The sequence below is a fragment of the Homo sapiens genome, chromosome 8 (genome assembly GCF_000001405.40).
Source record: "Homo sapiens chromosome 8, GRCh38.p14 Primary Assembly".
NCBI classification, from domain to species: Eukaryota; Metazoa; Chordata; class Mammalia; order Primates; family Hominidae; genus Homo; species Homo sapiens.
This window is the reverse complement of record NC_000008.11, coordinates 117,627,626-117,651,001: the sequence shown is the minus strand read 5'-3', so window position 1 is coordinate 117,651,001 and position 23,376 is coordinate 117,627,626. Positions and strand designations below refer to the sequence as shown.

The window sequence follows — 23,376 nt, the reverse complement described above, 5'->3', positions numbered from 1 at the left end:
AATACTTACTCATAGTGGTTATGGAAAAATTAAAAAACGAATATAAAGAACTTACCTCCACAGTTACTATTTTTCCCTGTTCCTTTTTCCATCTTTCCCTTCCACCTTACATCTTTCTGACAAAGGTTTGGTACTCAGTGCCAAAATATTTGCTGACTTGTAAATTAATAAAAAGCTAGAGGATGATGAATTCTGCAACTTGAGTTCTGGGAGAAAAATGCAGTGAAGCAGCAGGCACTCTGGGAAGTGTGTTAAGGAATGTTTACCAATGAAAAATGTGTTGTTTGTGTATATTTTGAAAATGTTTATTTTTGTGGTGAGAGGGTTCTTGAAGGCAATGTCTCTGCTGCATTCAGTTGAGAGACAGCAGCAGCCTCCAGGAATAGCAGGTATTGCTGCAGAGACTTTCTTTTGGACCAGAGCTGGAAAGACCCACGGGTTGACAAAAGAGTTGCGTAATTGTTCAGTATTTAACTCTCCCTGGAATGGCTCAAAGAGGGAGCTATGTGTGAAGGAACTTGTGGGTAAATAACTCTGGCACAGAGCACCACACCATCTGCAGACATTGCAGAAATGAGCAAGGGAAGCCAACGAGCTGTGAGTGACAGAGATTAATCTTCAAAGTCACAAAGGCATGTAGTTCCGTTTGGAATTCAGGCAATGCTGGAGAGCGTCACGGCCCCAGAACAATTCTCTGAGGCAATGAAGACATTTATCAGCCATAGCTCTCAGGTGACTGCTGTGTCCTGGAATCCTTGATGCTGGTGAATCAAAAAGAACCCAAAAGAAAGACACTTCCCTTTAAAATTAGGAGGGGCAGCAGAATAATTATGTTCAATTTTTTACTTAAAACAACTGTCCAAAGAATTCACCATGGTGCCTTGGATGAAGCTGGCCTTCCATATCCAGGGAACTGAGATGAAAACAAAGAGTGTCACTTACCATACCCTGCAGGCTGTGCATACAGACTCCCCGTTTGGGACAAGTAGCTAAATAATTGTTAGACTGCAAGGCCACACTTGAAAATTAAAATTATGCTTTTTGGAATATTCATTTGTTAATGAATACAATTGTTTTTATAAAATACATTTGTATTTATAAACTAGTTCTGTTAAAAACCATTTTCAAAAATAATTTTTTCCTAAAAATGAAAATAACGCATATGCATTTACATTTAAGCAAAATAAAAATCTTCACTTTGATTATTACATCAATTATCTGAAACATTAAAAATAACATAAACAATAATAGTCTTGATACACTTCACATACGTTAATCAATTTCTTTGCTATATTTGTTTCTAATGCCATTTGTCTGATATTTTTTTCAACATAGTGTCATTAAAATTTCTTTCATAAAATTGCCTGCAGTCTTACTCTAAGTAGTTTACGGCTAATGAAAATATCCACCATGTAGTAGCATTTTTTTTTTTTTTTAGTTTTCCAGGTACTTTAGTATCTGAAAAGAGCATACTTACTTAACTAAAAATATTATAGTACATGGATGAGTAAATTAAATATGCTGATCGTTTCAAATTTAATTCCATTTTAAAAATAAAAATGTGTACGTAGCTCAAATATTTTTCACACATACTCTCTTTTTACCTCCATATCTTTCTTTGAAAAATATTTTAATCAAAGTTTTTCAACTAAGTTGTATCTATGATTCCTTTGACTGTTTCTCTAAATTCAGATGCTGGAAAATCATAAGCATTCTTATTTTCACTCCTTTCTAGTCAGAATATAAGTTCACCTGATTAAAAATAGCAGTTCCATCAAAAAAAATTACACCACAAGTTGAGATACTCTAAAGTGCATTTATAGTATTCTAAATTTAAATATTAAACACAGCACTCCCTTGAGGGTTCAACCTTTTATTTGTTCTTTCCTCTTTTGGTGTTTTAATATGTTTAGTGATAAGTTTCAGTAAATCATTACTTTCAAGAAAACCTGCACAAAGTAACTACTAGCTTTTGAAATGGATGCTGATGTTTCTTTAGTAGACTTGTGCCTTTTCAAATGATAATTAATATCATTACAGTCCCCAAGTTAGATGTCAAATGCCAGCAAACATTTTGTGTAAGTTACATATTTGTCAATTTTCTTACAAAATAGAAATTCTGTACTTAAAATTTTATTAAACATGTGCTTCCCCTCCCCTTAGAATTTATTGCTCCTGAAAAGAGTTATAAAGTTTTTAAAAAGCTACCAAATAATAACATAAATAAAAAGTTATTGATTTATAGTATATAATAAATGACAAAAACCACTGTACTAGGAAGTATTCTCTATATGCTCTGTGAAAGAACTCTCAGTTTTTATTCCCACATGTTTTATATATACCGAATCTACCATTTCCAAGCTTTCCTGACTTTGCAGCCTGGTTTGATGTTTCATGCATCTTGTAGGCTGTAGCACAGGCCATGCTACCACCTGCATGCCAGCTCCATTTGATTGATAGGGGTAGGCCTGTTGGACACTTCTGCCACCATTACCACCACAGACTAGAAGGATGTAGCTTCTTCCCAGACCCTAGGGTACAAAGTCTCTTCATTTCCTTTAAAAAGGTACTAGTTACATTGCCTCCAGAAAGGGTCAGGAGAAGAAAGAAAGGTGATCTTTGGTTGTTTTTCAAATATGACCACATGTTAAATTAAGAACTCTGTTTATGGCCTGTGCATTTTGCACTGAGACTAGGTGAAACCATGGCAGAGGCTGGCAGTGAAGTGGAAGCCTAGAAATCTGGTGTATTAGTCTGTTTTCACGCTGCTGATAAAGACATACCAGAGACTGGGCAATTTACGAAAGAAAGAGGTTTAATGGACTTACAGTTCCACGTGGCTGGGGAAACCTCATAATCATGGCAGAAGGCAAAAGTCATGTTTTACATGGATGGCAGCAGGCAAAGAAAGAGAGCTTGTGCAGGGAAACTCCCACCGATAGAACCATCAGATCTCATGAGACTTACTCATTATCACGAGAACAGCATGGGAAAGACCTGTCCCTGTGATTCAATTACCTCCCATTGGGTCCCTCCCACAATACATGGGAATTCAAGATGAGATTTGGGTGGGGACACAGCCAAACTGTATCACCTGGCATGTTTTAATGCAACTATTAATAATAATACATTTGTAAAGATGAAAAATCTAAGACAAATGGTAAACCAGATGGAATGCCAGGATACTAGTCATACATAGAGACTGCTGCAGGCAAACCTGGGTATATGCTTCCCCTATTTGGTGGTGAAGAGCACAATCTTCAGACATCTTGGATCAAATTCTGATAGCATCAATTAACAGATACATAACCTTATCCAAATATCTACTGTTAATCTTCTCATTTGCAAAATGAGCAGAAAAATGTCCACCTTACTGGGCTGTTGTAAGGAGAAAAACTTGTGGAAAGTGCCTACAGCAAAGACCAGGCACACAACACATGAGACAGGGCTGCTGTCATTATCACCGTGCTCCTCTTACCTATGACTTGGTGGCACAAACGCCATAGTTTGTGACTCAGGCTGATTTTTCTTATGAAAAATAAAGCAGAACCAGAAAGAATCAGTTAGAACAGAAAAGAGAAAAAAAGTGGGTGGTGTGTGGAGTAGCTTCCCTATAATGTTGGTAAGAGGTTTGAATTTGTGTCATTATCCCTTCAAAACAGGAGGAGAGGCAGGATTTACTGAGCACTTCCTCGAGGCCCAGCACTGGAACAAACACTTACTCCTTTTTTATAAGAGGGTTATGGTGTTCTCACTGGTGTTTTTTCCATAACCATCACATGGAAATATTATCATTTTCATTTCACAGATGAGAAAACCAAGGCTTCAAGCAGTTACAGAAGTGTTAATAAAAATGCAGTCAGAAATAAAACTGATGTTCCTAAATTCATGATTTAACAAATCTGGCTGCATTGCTTCTCAAAAGTTCAAAATGTTCATGGTTTACTTACATCCGGAACGTTTGGTATATGACTGTTCAGCAATGCTAGGCAGAATTAGTGAGAAAATATGGTAGTCCTTATTAACAACCTCAAACTTAAAGAATTTATTAACAACCTTATAAAGTTAGAAATCTTTAAGAGCCTGTCACGGATGGTTCATCTCTAAATTTAACTAGACACTATCGTGGGCTAATGCAAATTCCATAGTATCTTTAAAATAAAGTATAAAACTAGTTTATGCTGCAGTAACAAATAAACCCCAAATCCCAGTAGTTTAGGTAACAAAGGATTGTTTCTTGGCATGCTACCCGTCCATTGCAAATCAGCAGAGGTGGATTCCTTGAAGTAGTGACTTGGTGAATCAGACTGACTGACAAGATAGTCATTGTCTCAAACATTGTCAGTTGCCAGCCAGAGGGAAAAGAGAACCCTTGAGGATCTCACATTGCATGACGCAGCTCAGAAATGACACACTCATAATCAGACAATTCAGTAGGTGGAACTAGCTGAATAACCCCACTCAACCATAAGGGGGTCAGGAACTATAAATCTGTCCTGCATATGGAAGGAGAGAAGTGAAAATATCATTCAAACAGCAATACTCATTGCTTACACATAAAGTTACTACAAATGTTGTAAATTATTAAATATTACTCTCTCTTAATTTTCATAAAATACCAATTTCAAGCTTCAGGTGGTTCTCTCTATACAATATATTCTATTATTAGGTAAACAAATACTTGTTCACCTATTTTAACAAAATTTTCACCTTATTTCCAAAGGAAGAACATTAAGTTTTAAGAGTCACTTCTGTCTTTTCTAAAAAGTTCTTTTTAAAATGACATCAACTGCTAGCTAAAGGGGATTCCTTAAGGAAATGTGTCATTTTCTTGTCTAGAAGTCAATGAATTCAAAGAAAAATAAGAGTAAGACTGAAAGGATGTGTAATAAAAGACCCAGTTAATGCCTAAAAGATGCCAAATTGGAAAGTGTTACTATTCCTTGTGTCATCCATCACTGCAAATGGCTCAGCAGGCAAAAGACTATCTCAAGCTGGCAGTCTTGCCATAGAAATAGATTAATTCAATAAAGGTAGCAGAATTACGAAGCTCAACATGGCCAGTGACATTCCACTGACTAGTTCAGAACCAAAAAAAGGTAAGAACTGAGTGAATGAAAAAAATGAAAATTCAATCAAGTCATAATCAAAGTTCAATAAATCTGGGAAATATTCTTGTACTGGATTTTTTGGTCCCTAAATATTAATCAGCTGTAAATTACTTTCCAGTTATCCATTCAGCTTTTAAAAATGGATTGACCTTTTCATAGAAAATCTATATTTGATGGTAAGGATGGAATTTAACATCCTTGGCTTAGGTATACTTCATAGAGGTGAGCAGTCTTTCTTGGCTGCATTCTTAGTACATAATAATGAAGGAAATTGCAGTAGACATTTTAAGTGCATAAGGCTGGAGACACAGTCATAGAGATTGGGAACACACTCAGCTTCCAGGACATTCAGCGCCACACAAAGAACATTCTTGATTATGTCATTGTTAAATTCCTATTTGGTAATCATGAAGAAGCAGGATAATTCAGTTCAACAACTAGTTATTGAGCACCTACTAATATGCCTACAAATGCTTTTTACACTTCAAAGAACTATATGAGATGAAAGGTATTATTGCTGTTGTTATGGCACTGTCCTTGAAATTGCAGAGAAAATACAGGTCAACGAGAGCAGGCAATGAAAAGAAAAGTAGTGAGATAAATTGATGGATTGAAGTTATTGATAAAGAAGGTTTATATTTTGCAGAGTAAATATAATCCAGAGCAAGCATTGGTTTAAAAAAAGACTTACTTTAATGTCATGTCAAAGCCCATTTTATATATTACAGAGCAGAGAAAATATTTAAACCTAGTTTTATGACTATGTAATTCTAACTTCTAAAACAGTGTAATTGTCCATCATATCAGCTGATTAATTAAGAAGGTTCTTTGTGTGTTGGTAATTAAGTCAGCATATTTTGGTATCATTTGACATAACTCATGACATGGACATGATTGTATGTTGGTTAGCAACTTACAACTGTCAGATGTTTTGAGAAACTGACAGCAACATCAGATGCTTTTGAATGAAATACCTTAGTGAAAAAGCAAAAGGCCACATGAAAAGGCACTTTATAAAATTTAAAATCCTCCAAATTGTTCTTATTAAGGTAATCAATTATTTCACATTGAATGTAAAGGAATCCTTTAATAAGCTTACAATGTTAGTTGAAAATATATATAATTACAGCTAGTTGATGTAATTATATTAATATCTGGCAAAATATATTTTAAGGAAAGAAATATTACTAGAGATAAAGATGCTGATTAAATAATGATAAAATATTCTATTTTCTAGGAAGATGTAATAATTCTAAACTTGTATGGACCCAATAGCCTCAAGCATATACAATGAAAATTAATAGGACTACAAGGAGAAAGTGACAATTTCACTATCAAAATGGGAGATCTAAACATTTGTCTTTCATTGGTAGATCAAGCACATTAAAAACTTAGTAAAACTGTAGAAGATTTGAATGGAACCTGATAGACATTTATAGGACACTGTATCCAACAGTTGTAGAATACATATAATTTTCAAGGAAACATAAAAGATCCATAGAAATTTCTCATTTCGTACAAATGGAATCACACAATATGTGGCCTTTTGGGACCAATTTCGTTACTTAGTATAATGTCTTCAAGCTTCATCCATATTATTGTATGTATCAGTCCTTCATTCTTTTTTACGTTCAAATAATATTTTATCATATAAATATACCACATTTTCTTTATTCTTCAGCTGATGGATATTTGGATTGTTTCTATTTTTTAGCTACCATGAATAATGCTTTTAGCAACATCCATATACAAGATTTTGTTTAGGCATATATTTATATCTACATATATCTAAGGGTGTATGTGGGCATAAAGGAAATATAAGTTTATATATACCCAGTTGTCTTGGGTGTATATCTAGGAGTAGAATTGCTGAATCTTAAAGGTAATTTTATGTTTAACTTTTTTAGAAACTGCTGAACTGTTTTCCAAAGCAGTTGCATCATTTTACATTCCCCCCGAACAATGTATGAGGGTCCCAGTTTCTTCACATCTTCAACACCGCCTGTGGTTATTTTTCCTGTCTTTTTTTATTATAGCCAGGCTTGTGAGTGTGAAGTAGTATCTCACTGTAGCTTTGCATTTCTCTAAGGACAATCGACGTTCAACACCATTTCATGTGCTTATTGGTCCATTTGCATATATATATATATTTGTAGAAATGTCTGTTCAAATCTTTTGCCCATTTTTTAAATTGTGTTATTTGTGTTTTTGTTATTGAATTATAAGAATTCTTTACATATTCTGGATATGAGAGCTGAACAAGATATATGATTTACAAATAAGCTATCCTATTCTTTAGGTTTCTTTTTTACTGTATTCATTTGCAGCACAAAAGTTTTAATTGTAATGAAGTCCAATGTACTTATTTTTTTATTTTATTGCTTGTGCTTTTGGTGTCATATTTAAGAACCATTGCCTAATCCAAAGTCATGAAGATTTTACACCTATGTTTTCTTCTAAGAGTTTTATAATCTCAGCCTTTATATTTAGATATTTTATCGATTTTGAGTTAATTTTTGTACATAATATGACATAGGGAACCAACTTCATTCTTTTGCATGTGAAACTTACGTTGCCATAGCACTTTTTAAAAAACTCTTATGTATTTTTAAATTTTCTTTGTGAGTTCTTTTTTGGCCCACTGGTTATTTAATATTGTGTGTTTAATTTCCACTATCTGTGAATTTCCTACTTCCTAAATTTCCTTGTGTTACTGATTTTTTTCCCATTATGGTCTAGGAACATACTTGTACTATTTTAGTCCTTTTAAATTTACTGAGACGTCTTTTATGGCCTAACCTACGTTCCATCCTGGGGAAGGTTCAATGTGCACTTGAGATGGACGTGTATTCTGTTGTTTCATGGAGTGTTCTGCAGCTGCTGCAAGGCCCAGTTTGTTTATACTGTTGCTCAAGTCTTCTATTTCCTGTTGATCTTCTGTCTAGTTGTTCTATCCATTATTGAGATTAGAGTATTGAATTAATGTATTTCTCCCTTCAATTCTGTCAATTTTGCTTCATGTTTTCTTGGGCCCTTCTGTTAAGTGCATATGGGTTTATAATTGTTTTATCTTCTTGGTGGATTGGCCCTTTCATCATTATAAAATATCTTTGTCTATAGTAATAATTTTTGTCTTGAAATCTATTTTGTCTTATATAAATATAGTTACTTCACTTCTTTTTTGATTACTGTTGGAATGGTATATCTTTCCCCAATATTTTACTTTCAACCTATTTTTGTCTTCGAATCTAAAGTGTTCATCTTGCATAAGAAATGCTTAAGGGGAAATTTATAGCTCTGAACACCTATATTAAAAGGAGGAAACATCTCAAATTAAATACCTAATCAAAAGTTAGTTCAAACATTTCTGAAGAACAATGTTTTCATATAAGGAAAGGGACTTGTTCTACCAGATTTAATTTTAGTTTAAAGCTATTGTAATTATAACAAGGTGTTATTGCTACAGGGATTTAATCAGTGTCAATTCAACTAAACAGGGACCTCAGAAACAGGCCCACAGCATACATGAAACTTAATTTATGTCAGTTCAGCCATTTTAGATCAGTGAGGAAAGAATCAACTATTTTATAAATGGTGCTTGGACTATTGATTATACAAATGAAAAATAAAAAAAAAACAGTTTTGTATTACAAACTATAAACTACAATTCCAAGCGGATGAAAGATGTAAATGTAAAAGGCAGTATTTCAAAACTTCTAAGAATATTTGGAATAGTCATATGAATTTGAAGTAAAATAGTTTCTTAAGCAAATTACAAAGTCCAAAGGAAATTGTTGATAAAATGTATGTACATTACAATTTAAAGCTTTCATTTATAGAATAAAAACACCTTACAGACAATGAAGAGAAAGACATACTGAAATAAGTGATTTGCGGTCCATGTCAATGAGTAAAGATTTGTGTTCGAAAAGATGAACACCACAATGAAACTAAGAACAAAAAACTTAAACATACATCTTACAGAGGAGGAAATACGAATTACCATAAACATAAGACAAGATGCTCAACCTTATTGTTAAGCAGGGAAATGCTAAATTAAATCTCAATAGGATATCATTTCATGCCTACCAGTTTATTAAAAAATTAAAAGGTGATTAATATCAAGTGTAGTGAGGATATGGGCAATAGGAATAGTCATCTCTTGCGGACAAGAGTATAAACTAGTAGAACTGGAAAGCAGTGTGTCTAAATAGAGTAGAGATGTGGATGAAAATTCCCTACAATCATACCTACGCTCCCAGATATATGCCCTTGAGGAATTCTAGCATGTGTACACCAGAAAATTCAAGATTGTCCAAGCAGCATTGTTCATAATAGCAGAAAACAGGAAACTATTCAAATTGTCTACCAACAGTTTAATAGACTCCTAAGTTGTGGTATGTTCATAGACTAGAATACTATACCATAGTTAAAAAGAATGAAATATAGCTATTGTCTTGGTGTAGTGGCTCAAGCCTGTTATCCCAGCACTTCGGGAGGCAGAGGTGGGAGGATTGCTTGAGCCCAGGAGTTCAAGATTAACCTGGGCAACATGGCGAAACCCAGTCTCTACAAAAATATGAAAATTAGCTAGGCATGGTGGTGTGTGCCTATAGTCCCAACTACTTGGGAGGCTGAGGCAGGAGGATTGCTTGAGCCTGGGAGGTGGAGGTTGCAGTGAGCTAAGATCACACCATTGTACTCCAGCCTGGGTAACAGAATGAGACTGCATCTCAAAAAAAAAAAAAAGAGAGAAAGAGAGAGAGAAAGAAGGAAAGAGAAAGAAAGAAAGAAAAGAAAGAGAAAGAAAGAAAAGAAAAAGAGAAAGAAAAAGCAAGCAAGCAAGCTACAGCTATTTTCTTCAACATAGATGAATCTTGCAATATGGAATGTGATAAGCCTATCACAAAAAATTACATATAGAATTTCACTTGCATAAATACAAAAGGCAAGTACCAAATGAAATATTATTTAGGAAACCATATAAAGGTGATAAACTATGAGAGAAAGAGAGATTGAGAGACAGAGAGAGGGAGAGGGAGACAGCAAAAGAGAAGGAGAGACAGAGACAAGATTCAGGACTGTGGTTACCTCTAGGGAAAGAGAAAGGGTGACAAGTGGGGAGGGGTACACAGCCTGCTACGGGGTTGTAATGCTGAATGTCTCAAGTTTTTGGTGAGTACATGAGTATTTTATTATTGCCCGCTAAGATGTACATACAGTAAATGTGTTTGTTTTATTCACTCCTCAGCACACATATTTTACTGTAAAATCTATTTAGCCACCTATGGGACTATATTGTATGAATCCTACATTGTGCTTATGGAGTGTACAGCTGAAGGATCAGGATAAGCTGTGGTCATTCTGGATTTTCAAGAGCATCGTGAAGAAAAATGAATGTTTGCCATAAGCACAAAGGTGACTTTCATACCTTTTTTCTCACAAGTAAATGAGAAGGGGTTTTAAAGAGTTAGCTTTGAGAAAAGAAGGTCATGTCAAAGGAGATATCCAGTGAATGATTGCAATAAGATCAGAAAATGAATAGACCTTACCACTGCCAGGAGGGTGGGGAGTTCCGAGGCTAAAATCCTCTGATGGTCTAGGATCCCCTTTTATTCACTGCCATCATAAAAGAGAGTTTTTAAATAAACCCGTTGGCTCTGGATCTACTGACACAAACAAAATGTTTCTTGAAATAAAACTTAAGGTATCATGGATTTTCAAGAGGATTTGGTTACAGGTACTATGTATAAAGCAGAGCTTGGTATTAGCATATTGTCTTTAGATCAGTGACCCCACTTTCCAAGTGTCTACAGACAAGTGACCTGCACACATTACAGGTTTAGAGAATGACTTCAAAAGCAACCAAAACATTACAGACAGAAGCAAGAAATGTTTGCTGCGTGGAAGACAGCGCATGCACTTTCACATTCTGGGCAAATCAAGAAGGTGATGCTCAGAAAGTTGACGCCATAAGGAAAGATGATTTCCTGTAGTGACGTGCAGGATGAGAAGAATTGAAATAACATACGGTATTACATAAAAAATTCAGAATAAATATATAAATGGGCCAGATATTCAAGGTGTCTTTGCTTTTGTTTCTGAGGACCATTTTTTTTTAAATTTTATTATTATTGTACTTTAAATTTTAGGGTACATGTGCACAACGTGCAGGTTTGTTACATATGTATACATGTGCCATGTTGGTGTGCTGCACCCATTAACTCATCATTTAGCATTAGCTATATCTCCTAATGCTATCCCTCCCCCCTCCCCCCACCCCACAACAGTCCCCTGTATGTCATGTTCCCCTTCCTGTGTCCACGTGTTCTCATTGTACAATTCCCACCTATGAGTGAGAACATGCGGTGTTTGGTTTTTTGTCCTTGCGATAGTTTGCTGAGAATGATGGTTTCCAGTTTCATCCATGTCCCTACAAAGGACATGAACTCATCATTTTTTATGGCTGCATAGTATTCCATGGTGTATATGTGCCACATTTTCTTAATCCAGTCTATCATTGTTGGACATTTGGGTTGGTTCCAAGTCTTTGCTATTGTGAATAGTGCCGCAATAAACATATGTGTGCATGTGTCTTTATAGCAGCATGATTTATAATCCTTTGGGTATATACCCAGGAATGGGATGGCTGGGTCAAATGGTATTTCTAGTTCTAGATGCCTGAGGAATCACCACACTGACTTCCACAATGGTTGAACTAGTTTACAGTCCCACCAACAGTGTAAAAGTGTTCCTATTTCTCCACATCCTCTCCAGCACCTGTTATTTCCTGACTTTTTAATGATCGCCATTCTAACTGGTGTGAGATGGTATCTCATTGTGGTTTTGATTTGCATTTCTCTGATGGCCAGTGATGGTGAGCATCTTTTCATGTGTCTTTTGGCTGCATAAATGTCTTCTTTTGAGAAGTGTCTGTTCATATCCTTCGCCCACTTATTGATGGGGTCGTTTGTTTTTTTCTTGTAAATTTGTTGGAGTTCGCTGTAGATTCTGGATATTAGCCCTTTGTCAGATGAGTAGGTTGAAAAAATTCTTCCATTCTGTAGGTTGCCTTTTCACGCTGATGGTGGTTTCTTTTGCTTTACAGAAGCTCTTTTGTTTAATTAGATCCCGTTTGTCAATTTTGGCTTTTGTCGCCATTACTTTTGGTGTTTTAGACATGAAGTCTTTGCCCATGCCTATATCCTGAATGGTATTGCCTAGGTTTTCTTCTAGGGTTTTTATGGTTTTAGGTCTAACATGTAAGTCTTTAATCCATCTTGAATTAATTTTTGTATAAGGTGTAAGGAAGGGATCCAGTTTCAGCTTTCTTCATATGGCTAGCCAGTTTTCCCAGCACCATTTATTCAATAGGGAATCCTTTCCCCATTTCTTGTTTTTGTCAGGTTTGTCAAAGATCAGATAGTTGTAGCTATGTGGCATTATTTCTGAGGGCTCTGTTCTGTTCCATTGGTCTATATCTCTGTTTTGGTACCAGTACCAGGCTGTTTTGGTTACTGTAGACTTGTAGTATAGTTTGAAGTCAGGTATTGTGATGCCTTCAGCTTTGTTCTTTTGGCTTAGGATTGACTTGGCAATGCGGGCTCTTTTTTGGTTCCATATGAACTATAAAGTAGTTTTTTCCAATTCTGTGAAGAAAGTCATTTGTAGCTTGATGGGGATGGCATTGAATCTATAAATTACCTTGGGCAGTATGGCCATTTTCACGATATTGATTCTTCCTACCCATGAGCATGGAATGTTCTTCCATTTGTTTGTATCCTCTTTTATTTTGTTGAGCAGTGGTTTGTAGTTCTCCTTGAAGAGGTCCTTCACATCCCTTGTAAGTTGGATTCCTAGGTATTTTATTCTCTTTGAAGCAATTGTGAATGGGAGTTCACTCATGATTTGGCTCTCTGTTTGTTTTTGGTGTATAAGAATGCTTGTGATTTTTGTACCTTGATTTGGTATCCTGAGACTCATCATTTTTTATGGCTGCATAGTATTCCTTGGTGTATATGTGCCACATTTTCTTAATCCAGTCTATTGTTGTTGGACATTTGAGTTGGTTCCAAGTCTTTGCTATTGTGAATAGTGCCACGATAAACATATGTGTGCATGTGTCTTTATAACAGCATGATTTATAATCCTTTGGGTATTATAAATACCCAAAGCTGAAGTTGCTTATCACCTTAAGGAGATTTTGGGCTGAGACGATGGGGTTTTCTAGATATACACAATCATGTCATCTGCAAACAGGGACAATTTGTCTTCCTCTTTTCCTAATTGAATACCCTTTATTTCCTTCTCCTGCCTGATTGCCCTGGCCAGAACTTCCAACACTATGTTGACTAGGAGTGGTGAGAGGGGGCATCCCTGTCTTGTGCCAGTTTTCAAAGGGAATGCTTCCAGTTTTTGCCCATTCAGTATGATATTGGCTGTGAGTTTGTCACAGATAGCTCTTATTATTTTGAGATACGTCCCATCAGTACCTAATTTATTGAGAGTTTTTAGCATGAAGGGTTGTTGAATTTTGTCAAAGGCATTTTCTGCATCTATTGAAATAATCACGTGGTTTTTGTCTTTGGTTCTGTTTATATGCTGCATTACATTTATTGATTTGTGTATGTTGAACCAGCCTTGCATCCCAGGGATGAAGCCCACTTGATCATGGTAGATAAGCTTTTTGATGTGCTGCTGGATTCGGTTTGCCAGTATTTTATTGAGGATTTTTGCATCAATGTTCATCAAGGATATTGGTCTAAAATTCTCTTTTTTGGTTGTGTCTCTGCCCAGCTTTAGTATCAGGATGATGCTGGCCTCATAAAATGAGTTAGAGAGGATTCCCTCTTTTTCTATTGATTGGAATAGTTTCAGAAGGAATGGTACCAGCTCCTCATTGTACCTCTGGTAGAATTTGGCTGTGAATCCATCTGGTCTGAGGGCCATTTTCTACTCATCATTAAAAAAAAAAAGAGAGAGAGACAGATCCTAAAAAAGAAAGATCCTTTGATAGGCCAAAAAGTTTAAGTTAGGCACAGCTTAAGAAATATTGATGAGTTACTGGGCCTTCAAGGTATGAAAAATAAGGACTATAGTTGGGCTTTAGGGTAGAGCTGGAGATTCTCTATGCAAGGATTGCTAATCAAAAAAAGAGAATAGCTGAGGGGGAGACTAGTTTCCAATTACAGTACCACAAATTAAACAAGAAATCTTTATATTTATTTACAGCAAAGTCTAGGGCAAGTCAGTCAACGCTATTGGAAGAAAAGTATGGCACAAATAATGCCAAATGACAGAAATAGGTATCATATTGAATTAACGTTTCAATGTGGATTTCTCTAAGGTTCTGGGGGAAAGCATAGCATAGCCAAATTACATAAGCATTCTTTTTTTTTTTTTTTTTCTTTTTTTTTGAGACAGAGTTTCACTCGTTGCCCAGGCTGGACTGCAATGGCATGATCTCAGCTCACTGCAACCTCCACCTTTTGGGTTTGAGCGATTCTCCTGCCTCAGCCTCTTGAGTAGCTGGGATTACAGGCGCCTGCCATCACGCCTGGCTAATTGTTTTGTATTTTTAGTAGAGACGGGGTTTCACCATGTTGGCCAGGCTGGTCTTTAACTCCTGTCCTCAAGTGATCCACGCCCCTCGGCCTCCCAAAATGCTGGGATTACAAGCATGAGCCAGCGTGCCCGGCCTTTTTTTTTTTTTTTTTTTTTTTAAATGTACTCAGCACTATTTTAGGTAGTGTGGCAAAACAGATGAACAATAAAATATGTTTCCTGCCCTCAAGGACTTTATATATAATGTAGGTAAGGACTTTATATATAACATAGGTAATATAAGCTATCAGAGTGAAATAATGAGATAAAAATACAAAGAAAAATAATAAGAGTACTTGCTGCTCGGATGGAAGGCTCTCAGTAACCTCACTCTCTGGGTCCCGGTAGAAAACCAGGCAGCTGGAACATCTACTTGTCTGCACACGAACCCTCATTGATCCTCACTGACTCCTAGTTGTACCCCAATTGGAATGATTCTTGTTTACTATCTAGTCCTAACAGGGCTTTATTATTGGGCTTTCTACAAATTAAAAACAGGAATTTAAAAGAATGAAAAATTGCTTGGAGTGAGAGTATTGAAAACTGATTAAAAAAAAAGGCCACTAATAGTGAGAAAGGGAATAGAAAGCCTATTACAGACACGACTCAGAAAGCAGAACAAGTTGGGGGTGCTGAGCAAAGGAACAAGCGAGGTTTCCCCTCTCAGGCTCCCCTCTGACCATGATGTGGCCCTGTATGATGGCTGATAGCCATGTGCTGAGTTTCTCATTAACAACAGGTTAATAGCTTCAGTATATATTTAATTAGGCTGGACACTGTGACACATTTGAGAAATCTTTCTACTGAAATTAGTTTAAATAAAACCTTTTGGCATGCAAAGGGAATAAGCCTCAGTTATCAGGACAAATCACAGCAGAGACACCTCATTTCCCAATCATCCTGGATAAATGAAGACTGACTGTCTGTCACTGAGCCTGCCATTGTGTGGTACAGACCATATTTTCTATATTATTATAAAATTATCATAAAATGTGATTTTTTGCAATATCATACCCTTTATGGTCATTCTTAAGAAGCAAGTTAGTTAAATTTCAAGCATGGTAACAGAAAGAGGTTCTAGACCAAATGCCTTATTAAATAGATAAGCTCAAATAAAAGTAAATGCACATTTCATGCAGGTCTTCTGTTTTAATATTTGAATGTAGAATTTCCCAATGTTCTGGGATAGTGCACAGCACTTGGAAAAGACCATAGCAGAATATCATTGCCCACACATATTTGAATTATTTTTAAAAAACTGTGTGTGCGTATCTAGATTTTTAATCAAAACAGAACCATGATAGCAACACTGATTTCGGAAAAACTGGAAAGATGGAGGGAACAGGAACTCAGGCTTAAGCCATAGCACACTTTTCTTTTATCGATTCTCCATTTGTTTTGTAGGATTTCAACAGTGAAGGAGACCTGAGAAACCATAAAATCAATCTCTCAAATTGAAGTTGAAAAAAGCAAATCATCTCTCACACCCACCCTGATTGGTAATAATTAACTTGGCAATACTTCAGTTACTCTTTCATTAAGCAGTTCTCCTAGATATCGAATTTATGTTAGTTTATTTATTGGATTCATCCTAAGCATTCAAGGTACTTTTGAAGGATATGAGGCAAACTGTTAGCATCATTTAACATTTATTGAATTGTAGCATCCACATAACTTAGAGCAGACACAAGACTTAATGAGAAAAGCAAGACATTATTCCTGTTTTATAGAGAGTAACCAAGGCCAACAGGTAGAAAGAAGACTTGCCCAAAGTCAGACAGAAAATGTTGAGAGGAGATTAGGACCCACTTAGGTTATTTTTGGTAGATTGCTCTTTTCACTTATACATAGCTGAGTTTGCCAGGAATAAAGAAAATATACTGAACATGAACAGTTAATTGAGATGCTTAAGCGTAAACACATGGAGGGGTGGTAGGTAAGCGCTTGTGTTGACTCAGCCATCATTCTGTTTGTGTGTGCCAATCAGTCTCTGCCAGTTGGTATCAGTCATTATCCAATGAGAGAAATGAGAGCTAGGAAAAGGGGAGTGAGCCCCGATTATCTTTTATAAGTATATAAATTGATGGCTATGGTAGGATTTTTCTCAATGTGGAAACTCGAAGTTCTGTGCCTAAGTTTTATTTCAAGAAACATTTTGTTTGTGTCAATAGATCCAGAGCCAATGGGTTCATTTAAAACTCTCTTTCATGATGGCAATGAATAAAAGAGGATCCTAGACCATCAGAAGATTTTAGCCTTGGAGCTCCCCACCGTCCTAACACACACAGATAGAGCTGGCTCCGAACTCTGCTGCTTCCATGGTCGTGGCTACCTACTACTCTGTTCCTACTTCATCTTCACTGTGATTTTTGTCCATATGTCAGACTGAAGCAGACTGCTTAGGGCCTTGGGTTGAGGTAGGGGACATCTTTCTCCAGGTTAGGCATTTCAACTGAAGAGGAAAAAAAGTAGGAATAGGAAATGATGACTACTAGAGGTCAATTGATCCATTAAAAACAAAAATGATTATTTTTGACTCCTGAGTTCTGAAAATGTATTTGAGGGTTCTTCAACACAAGGAGCAAAAGAACAAAGAGAAAGGGGAAATCTTTGTTGTTTTATTGATCTGCCTTAATAGTATTCTTTCATCTTAGAAATAAGACGAGCTTGCATAGAAGCCGCTGTCTGTGGTTCGGTTTCTGAACTAGAAAACAAATCTTTTTAAAAATCAAAATCTGAGCATTTCAGATTAAAACATGATAGGGGCCAATACTACTTTTTTGGTGAAAGCCTTGAATGGGGTGATCCAGTGAAAGGACCCAATGACAAATTTAAAACAAGGGGAATAACAGTTCCTGTGCCCTGGCACAGGATGGGTAGTAAGCACATCAATAATGATTATATGAATTCCAAGTAGGATTAGTTTCATAAGAGATTGGCACATATTTACTTTGGGTTCATGATGGAAGGTGAAAATCATAATAAATATTTGGGGAATCAAGAAGACTTCATGGAAGAGAAGGCTTTTTAGAAGCATGTAAAGAATGTTGAAGAAGGAAATAGACCTAGGCAGTCCAAATATAGAGGTAGTATGGGTAAGTATATCTTTGGAGAAAGTTGTCTATTTGGCTGTAGGATACACAAGAATGAGAGAAAGACAAGATAATAAGAGCCTTATTGTGGGAGGTCTACAGCATTTGTACTTGAATTGGCAGTCAACAGTGGAGCCATTAAAGGTTTTTAGAAATGAATGTAATAGATTAGAAATTTAAGAAAATTAGAGTACAGACCCAAGAAAGACTGGAATGGAAGTAACATGAGCAATCAGGAGAATTCTGTAGTAGAATTAAGTGAAAAATTGTGAGACTCTAAGTTAATAAAGGGAAAACCCAGATGTCACTAGCTGCATTTTCAGGGAGCTAACAAATCTAGTGATTGCATAAGCCATAGGTCCCTTAGAAAATTTAATGAAAAATCTCTGGAAATCCCCCAGAAAAATACCACATTTACACATACTCAAAATGTTGCTTATAATTTCAGGGAGCTTATAGAACCTTGGGAACCAGGAACCCTTTAGGACCCTGTGAACTACAAGGTAAGCACATGTGATTCTGACTGATTGATTGAAAATTAAAACATAAATCAGTTATAAAACAAAAATTACTTACTATTTTGACATAAATGTAGGCCAGCATTTCCCATTTTTTTTCCCTGAATGCTGCTTTAGAAAGAAACTTCTGAAATTAAGAACCAGAAACGGAAGTGTATGGTGGTCACATGGCAACCTGGCCAGCTTCTGGGGCATTTCACTTTTTCTGTTTTTATAACCTAACACAGTTTATGGTCAAAAAAAAATTTTTAAATGCTATTTACCCTGTTATCCTCCAGAAGATTAATATTCCATATCCTCATATTAAATGTTTTTCAGTAAAGAACACTGGTTTAACTCTTTTTACTCTAGCACTTCCAACCATTAATCCAGTGGTCTTCAGAGCCTGTCCCTGCAGCCTTCATCCAGAAATAACAGCCGTTCTCACAATCTATATTTTAAAAATGAGACTTAGGCTCCAGGAACATAAAGTTTCCTTACATCTGCCTTTACCTTTCCCAGCCCTCCTTACTCTGAACCAGGAGGTACCTATTCTGGTCGTTACTAACTAGCTGTGTGGTCATGAAAAAATTATGTGTCTCAGAATTCATATCTGGAGAATGAAGTTATACATTGTGAAGATCTATGCTCTACTCAGTGGTTCTCAAACTTGAGTATTCATCAGAATCATCCTGAGGGCTTCTTGTAACAGTTTGTTGGGTCTCATATTAAAGTTTCTTATTTCAAAAATCTGGGTGGGGCCTGAGAGTTTACATTGCTTGTTGAGTTCCCAGGTGATGCCAGTGCTGATGGTCCATGGACCAAACTTAAAGAACTGCTGCTCTAGCAGTTTTGGAATCCTGTGAACTCTTTGTAAAATTTTTATTATTTTTATGTGTTTTCTTTCCAACTTTTATTTTAGTTCAAGGAGTACGTGAGCAGGTTTGTTTCAAGGGTAAATTGCGTCTTGGGGTTTTGGTGTACAGATAATTTTGTCACCCAGGTAATAAGCATAGTACTCGATAGGTAATTTTTAAATCCTCACCCTCCTCCTACCCTCCACCCTCAAGTAGGCCCCAGAGTCTGTCGTTCCCTCCCTTGTGTACTCAATGTTTATCTCCCATGTGTAAGTCAGAACATGCAATACTTGGTTTTCTGTTTCTGCATTAATTCCCTTAGGATAATGACCTCCAGCACCATCTATGTTGCTGAAGAGGATATGATTACATTCCTTTTTTTTTTTTTTTTTTTTTTTGTGGCTGCATTCCATGGTTTATATGTACCAGATTTCCTTTATTCAGTCCACCATTGATAGGCATGTAGGTTGATTCCTTGTCTTTGCTACTGTGAACAGGGCTGCAATGAACATACATGTGCATGAGTCTTTATGGTAGAAAGATTTATATTCGTTTGGGTATATACCCAATAATGAGATTGCTGGGTTGAATGGTAGCTCTATTTTACTGTGAACTCTTATACTCTTTACCAGTTAAGTCCTTTCCTCTCTGGAGCTGGCAATTCACTTCCTAGCTGCTCCTGTTTTGTGTCTGATGCTCAAGTTCTTGATTCTTTATTCTGAACAATGGTTGCTATTAGTATTTTCTGAGGAAGATCACTGCATCCATCATAAACAATTTTTAAAATTTCAAATATGTACAGTCCATGCTGCTGCCATAGTATAAATACCAACTTTCTAGGGTACTAAGTATTGGATGAGCCCAGCCAATGTGCAGATAGACGTGGTGGCACAAAGGACCTATTTACATGCCATTTTTGTTGGGGCAGCACTGCCCTTTAGAATGTGACTGTTAGTATGGGTGCTGCTAGAAAGGATTCCCTCTACTCAAAATGCATGTGAACAACTTCTGCAGAGTTAATGCTAGGACAGAATTGTGACATTGATAAAGTTTGACTTTGAGGTCCCTTCACTTTGTATACAATCACTTAATAAATATTTACTCATCATTGGCATATAAGGTATTAAGCTAGATACATCAGGGGATACAAAGATAAATCAGATCAAATCCTTGCCTGCAATGGAATTTACAATTCAGTACAAGACATAAGATGTGTACATCTATGGAGACAGTGTGTGGGGCTCCTGCAATATCAGCTGTGCTCAAATGACAGTAAATCTAATTACTACTTATGAGAACTCAGACAGTTTATGTAATCCCTTTCAGTCTCAGTTTCATAATGGCTGATAGGTAAAATAATAACCCATAGAATCAACTATGGCTGCATTGTGAAAACTCATATAAACCCATATTATTTAAGAAAACATATTCTGGGCTTTCCATAGTACTAGGAATATAGTAAATGTTCAATAAACGCAGCAGTTTTAAAACTATCATTGCCAAAGTGGAGAGTGATACATGTAATAGATAATTGTTGAGTGCTTACTATGTGTTGGATATTGGACTAAATGTTTTTCATTTATTATGTAGTTTAATCCTTACAACAAGCCTAATAAAATTGATCATATAATTTTCTCAATTTTGTGGATAAGAAAGCAGAGCTCAGGGACCTTAAGTAATTTGCTCAAGATAATGCAGCTTACAAACAGCGGGAGCTAGTATTCAAACAAATTCTGGTTCCTGGGTTTGTATCCTTACCATTGTGTATACTGTTTCCTAATAAATACTCTAAGAAGACTAAACAAAGCATTTGGGGGAGGTCAGAGGTGTGAGCAAAAACTTCTAAGGGGAGCTTCTAAGAAGATGAAGGCTTAAAATTTGAGCTGGGATTTGAAGAAAGAGGAATTTTGGCTCTGTACATTCTCATCTTCCTTTTTCCTGTTTAATACATTTATTTATTTAATAAATACTTGTCCAGCACTTATTTTGTGACAGGCATTATAGTAGGTGCTGGCAGCATGACACAAGGTCCCTGATTCAAAGTTCATCCCTTCATGGAACTTATGATCCAGAGATGGAGATGACAATTTAACAGGCACTTAATGAGTAATTACAGAGGAGAAATTTAGGATGCTCTTCAATTCAGGAACTATGAGCTGAGAGCTTACTCTATCCCAGATTGTGCTACATTCCACAGGGATAGACCTTACCTGGAAAATATTGTTTGTTCTTCCTCATCTGTCTTGTTGCAGTTAAAATTTCTGTGATGCTAAATCTGTTCATGCAAAATCATTTATGACCCCTTATTTTTCACACTTGATCTTAGCCAAAAGGGTGAGAAGCAATACCTCTTATGTTTTAGGTAGATGAATGTGATAGGACAACAGCTTTTTAAAGTTATTGACCAATTTTTTTCTCCAAAATTTATCTTTTATCCCTCTCTTCCACCCTCTACTTCCAGTCATGCAGCTAAAGTTTTGTACATTCATTACCTAAGGAAATGGCTATTATATGGCAGAAAACTGGGGGAGAAATCAATCATTTTGGCTGTGGTTTTTAAAAGCCCATCCCCTCAAAGAAAGGGTGAAGACTCTGGGCGTAACCCCAATTATAGAAAAAACTTATGAGAAATTAGGGATCTAATTTCTGTATTCAGTAGAAAAGGATTCCTGGACTGGGAATGCCTCCAGTAATGTCAGGAAACATAAAATGACTGAGATTAATTTTTTGCCACCTTAGCTGTAAATGAAGAATTAAAAATAAAAATAGATTCAATGATAGAAAAATAAAGAGAAGTAATACGTCTTGCCAGATTGTATTTGTGGATGAATATTGGAATCCATTGTATTGATTCATGCTAAGGTTCACAGTCTTTTCCAGATAAGTTTGAATCTCAACAGTGACTTTTAATATTATGTTAATTAATTCCACAAATATTTATTGAACATCCATGATGTGCTAGGTAAATGGCAGAGGGTAGTATCACAGTGTCAAGCAAGAATAAACACAGTTCTTGCTTACTAAACTTTATTTTCAAGACAGAAAGTCAATAATCAAATAATTACACAAATGCTTGTGAAATTACAAGTGTGAAAACTGTCACCGAGGAAAGATACATGAATTTATGTGGCAAGGGGATCATCTGGGGTATCTGAGAAGTCTCCCTGAGAAGTGGCATTTAAACTGAGACCTGAAAATGAGCAGGAGCTAAGTACATAAAACAGAAGGGAAAGAACAAGCAGTCTAGGCCAACAGAATCAGGATTTTAGCCCTTCATGTGGTGGCAGAGCTACTAGATAAAAATTTAGGTTGGAGGGAGTGTGGAGAGAGACTTTGGCTCACAGCATGAGGGCAGCTCTTGCCGTAAAAGGCCTTCCTGAGCATGAAGGCATGTTCTGCACATGGATGTGGCTTTTGCACGTCTTTTGTTATCTTTGTGCCCATCTCCCTGAGGCCTCACAGGCTGAACTCTTCACCTTTCCCCAACTCTACTCCTGCTTCTGCATGTCCCATCTCAACAAATGATAGCTTCATCTTTGCATTCTGTGCAAGCTAAAACCCTCCACCTCATCCTTGCTGCTTCCTTCTTCCTCATCTGATCTATGTCCAATCCATCTCCAAGCTGTGTCTATTCTGTCTCATTAATATCTCTCACATCTAAGTCACTTCCCTCCATTCCCAATGCCACTCCCTTAGCTCAGGGTCCACACCACCCACCCTGACTTTATACATATACATATGGAGCTGCTTTAAATTGTTTTAAGAAGCTGCACCTTTCTCCCTCTTGAGGTTTTTATGCATATTTCCTCTCTGTTCAAAATCGTCTTTCTTTCTATCCTCAACTAGGGAATTCCTGTTCTTCATGCTGGATTTCTTTTCTATAAAAACTCTCCCTGATCACCAGCCATAACCACCATGGATATAAGGTTGGCTTTTCCTCCTTCATGTTCACTCTAAATACTTCATGCTTATCCCTACCAATTATGCATCTGTTTAGACCTGAGCTGTGTAACATGGTGGCCACTAACCACTGTGGTGGCTACTGAGCACTTGAAATGTGACTGAGACGAATTGAACAGTGCTGTACATGTAAAACAAACATCAGATTTCAAAAACCTAGTATGTTGCTTAGTAATTTTTAAGTACTTGTTTACGTGTTGTCATGATAATATTTGGGATATACCCAGTCAAATAAAACATATTATTAAAATTAACC

General features: G+C 36.4%; 1 long non-coding RNA gene across 5 annotated transcripts in view; it reads left to right on the top strand.

Moving 5' to 3' along the window:
* The window catches only part of LOC105375721 (uncharacterized), a 121,243-nt gene that overhangs the window by 81,138 nt on the left and 16,729 nt on the right, over nucleotides 1-23,376 (top strand). For 3 of the 5 annotated variants that reach the window (XR_001746050.1, XR_001746049.1, XR_001746046.1), the window contains exons 6-7: nucleotides 16,119-17,131; nucleotides 18,255-18,309. This is a non-coding gene — a long non-coding RNA (uncharacterized LOC105375721). Of the gene's footprint in view, nucleotides 1-16,118; nucleotides 18,232-18,254; nucleotides 18,310-23,376 lie in introns of those variants that run through there. The other 2 variants (XR_007061069.1, XR_007061071.1) reach the window with 2 other exon arrangements.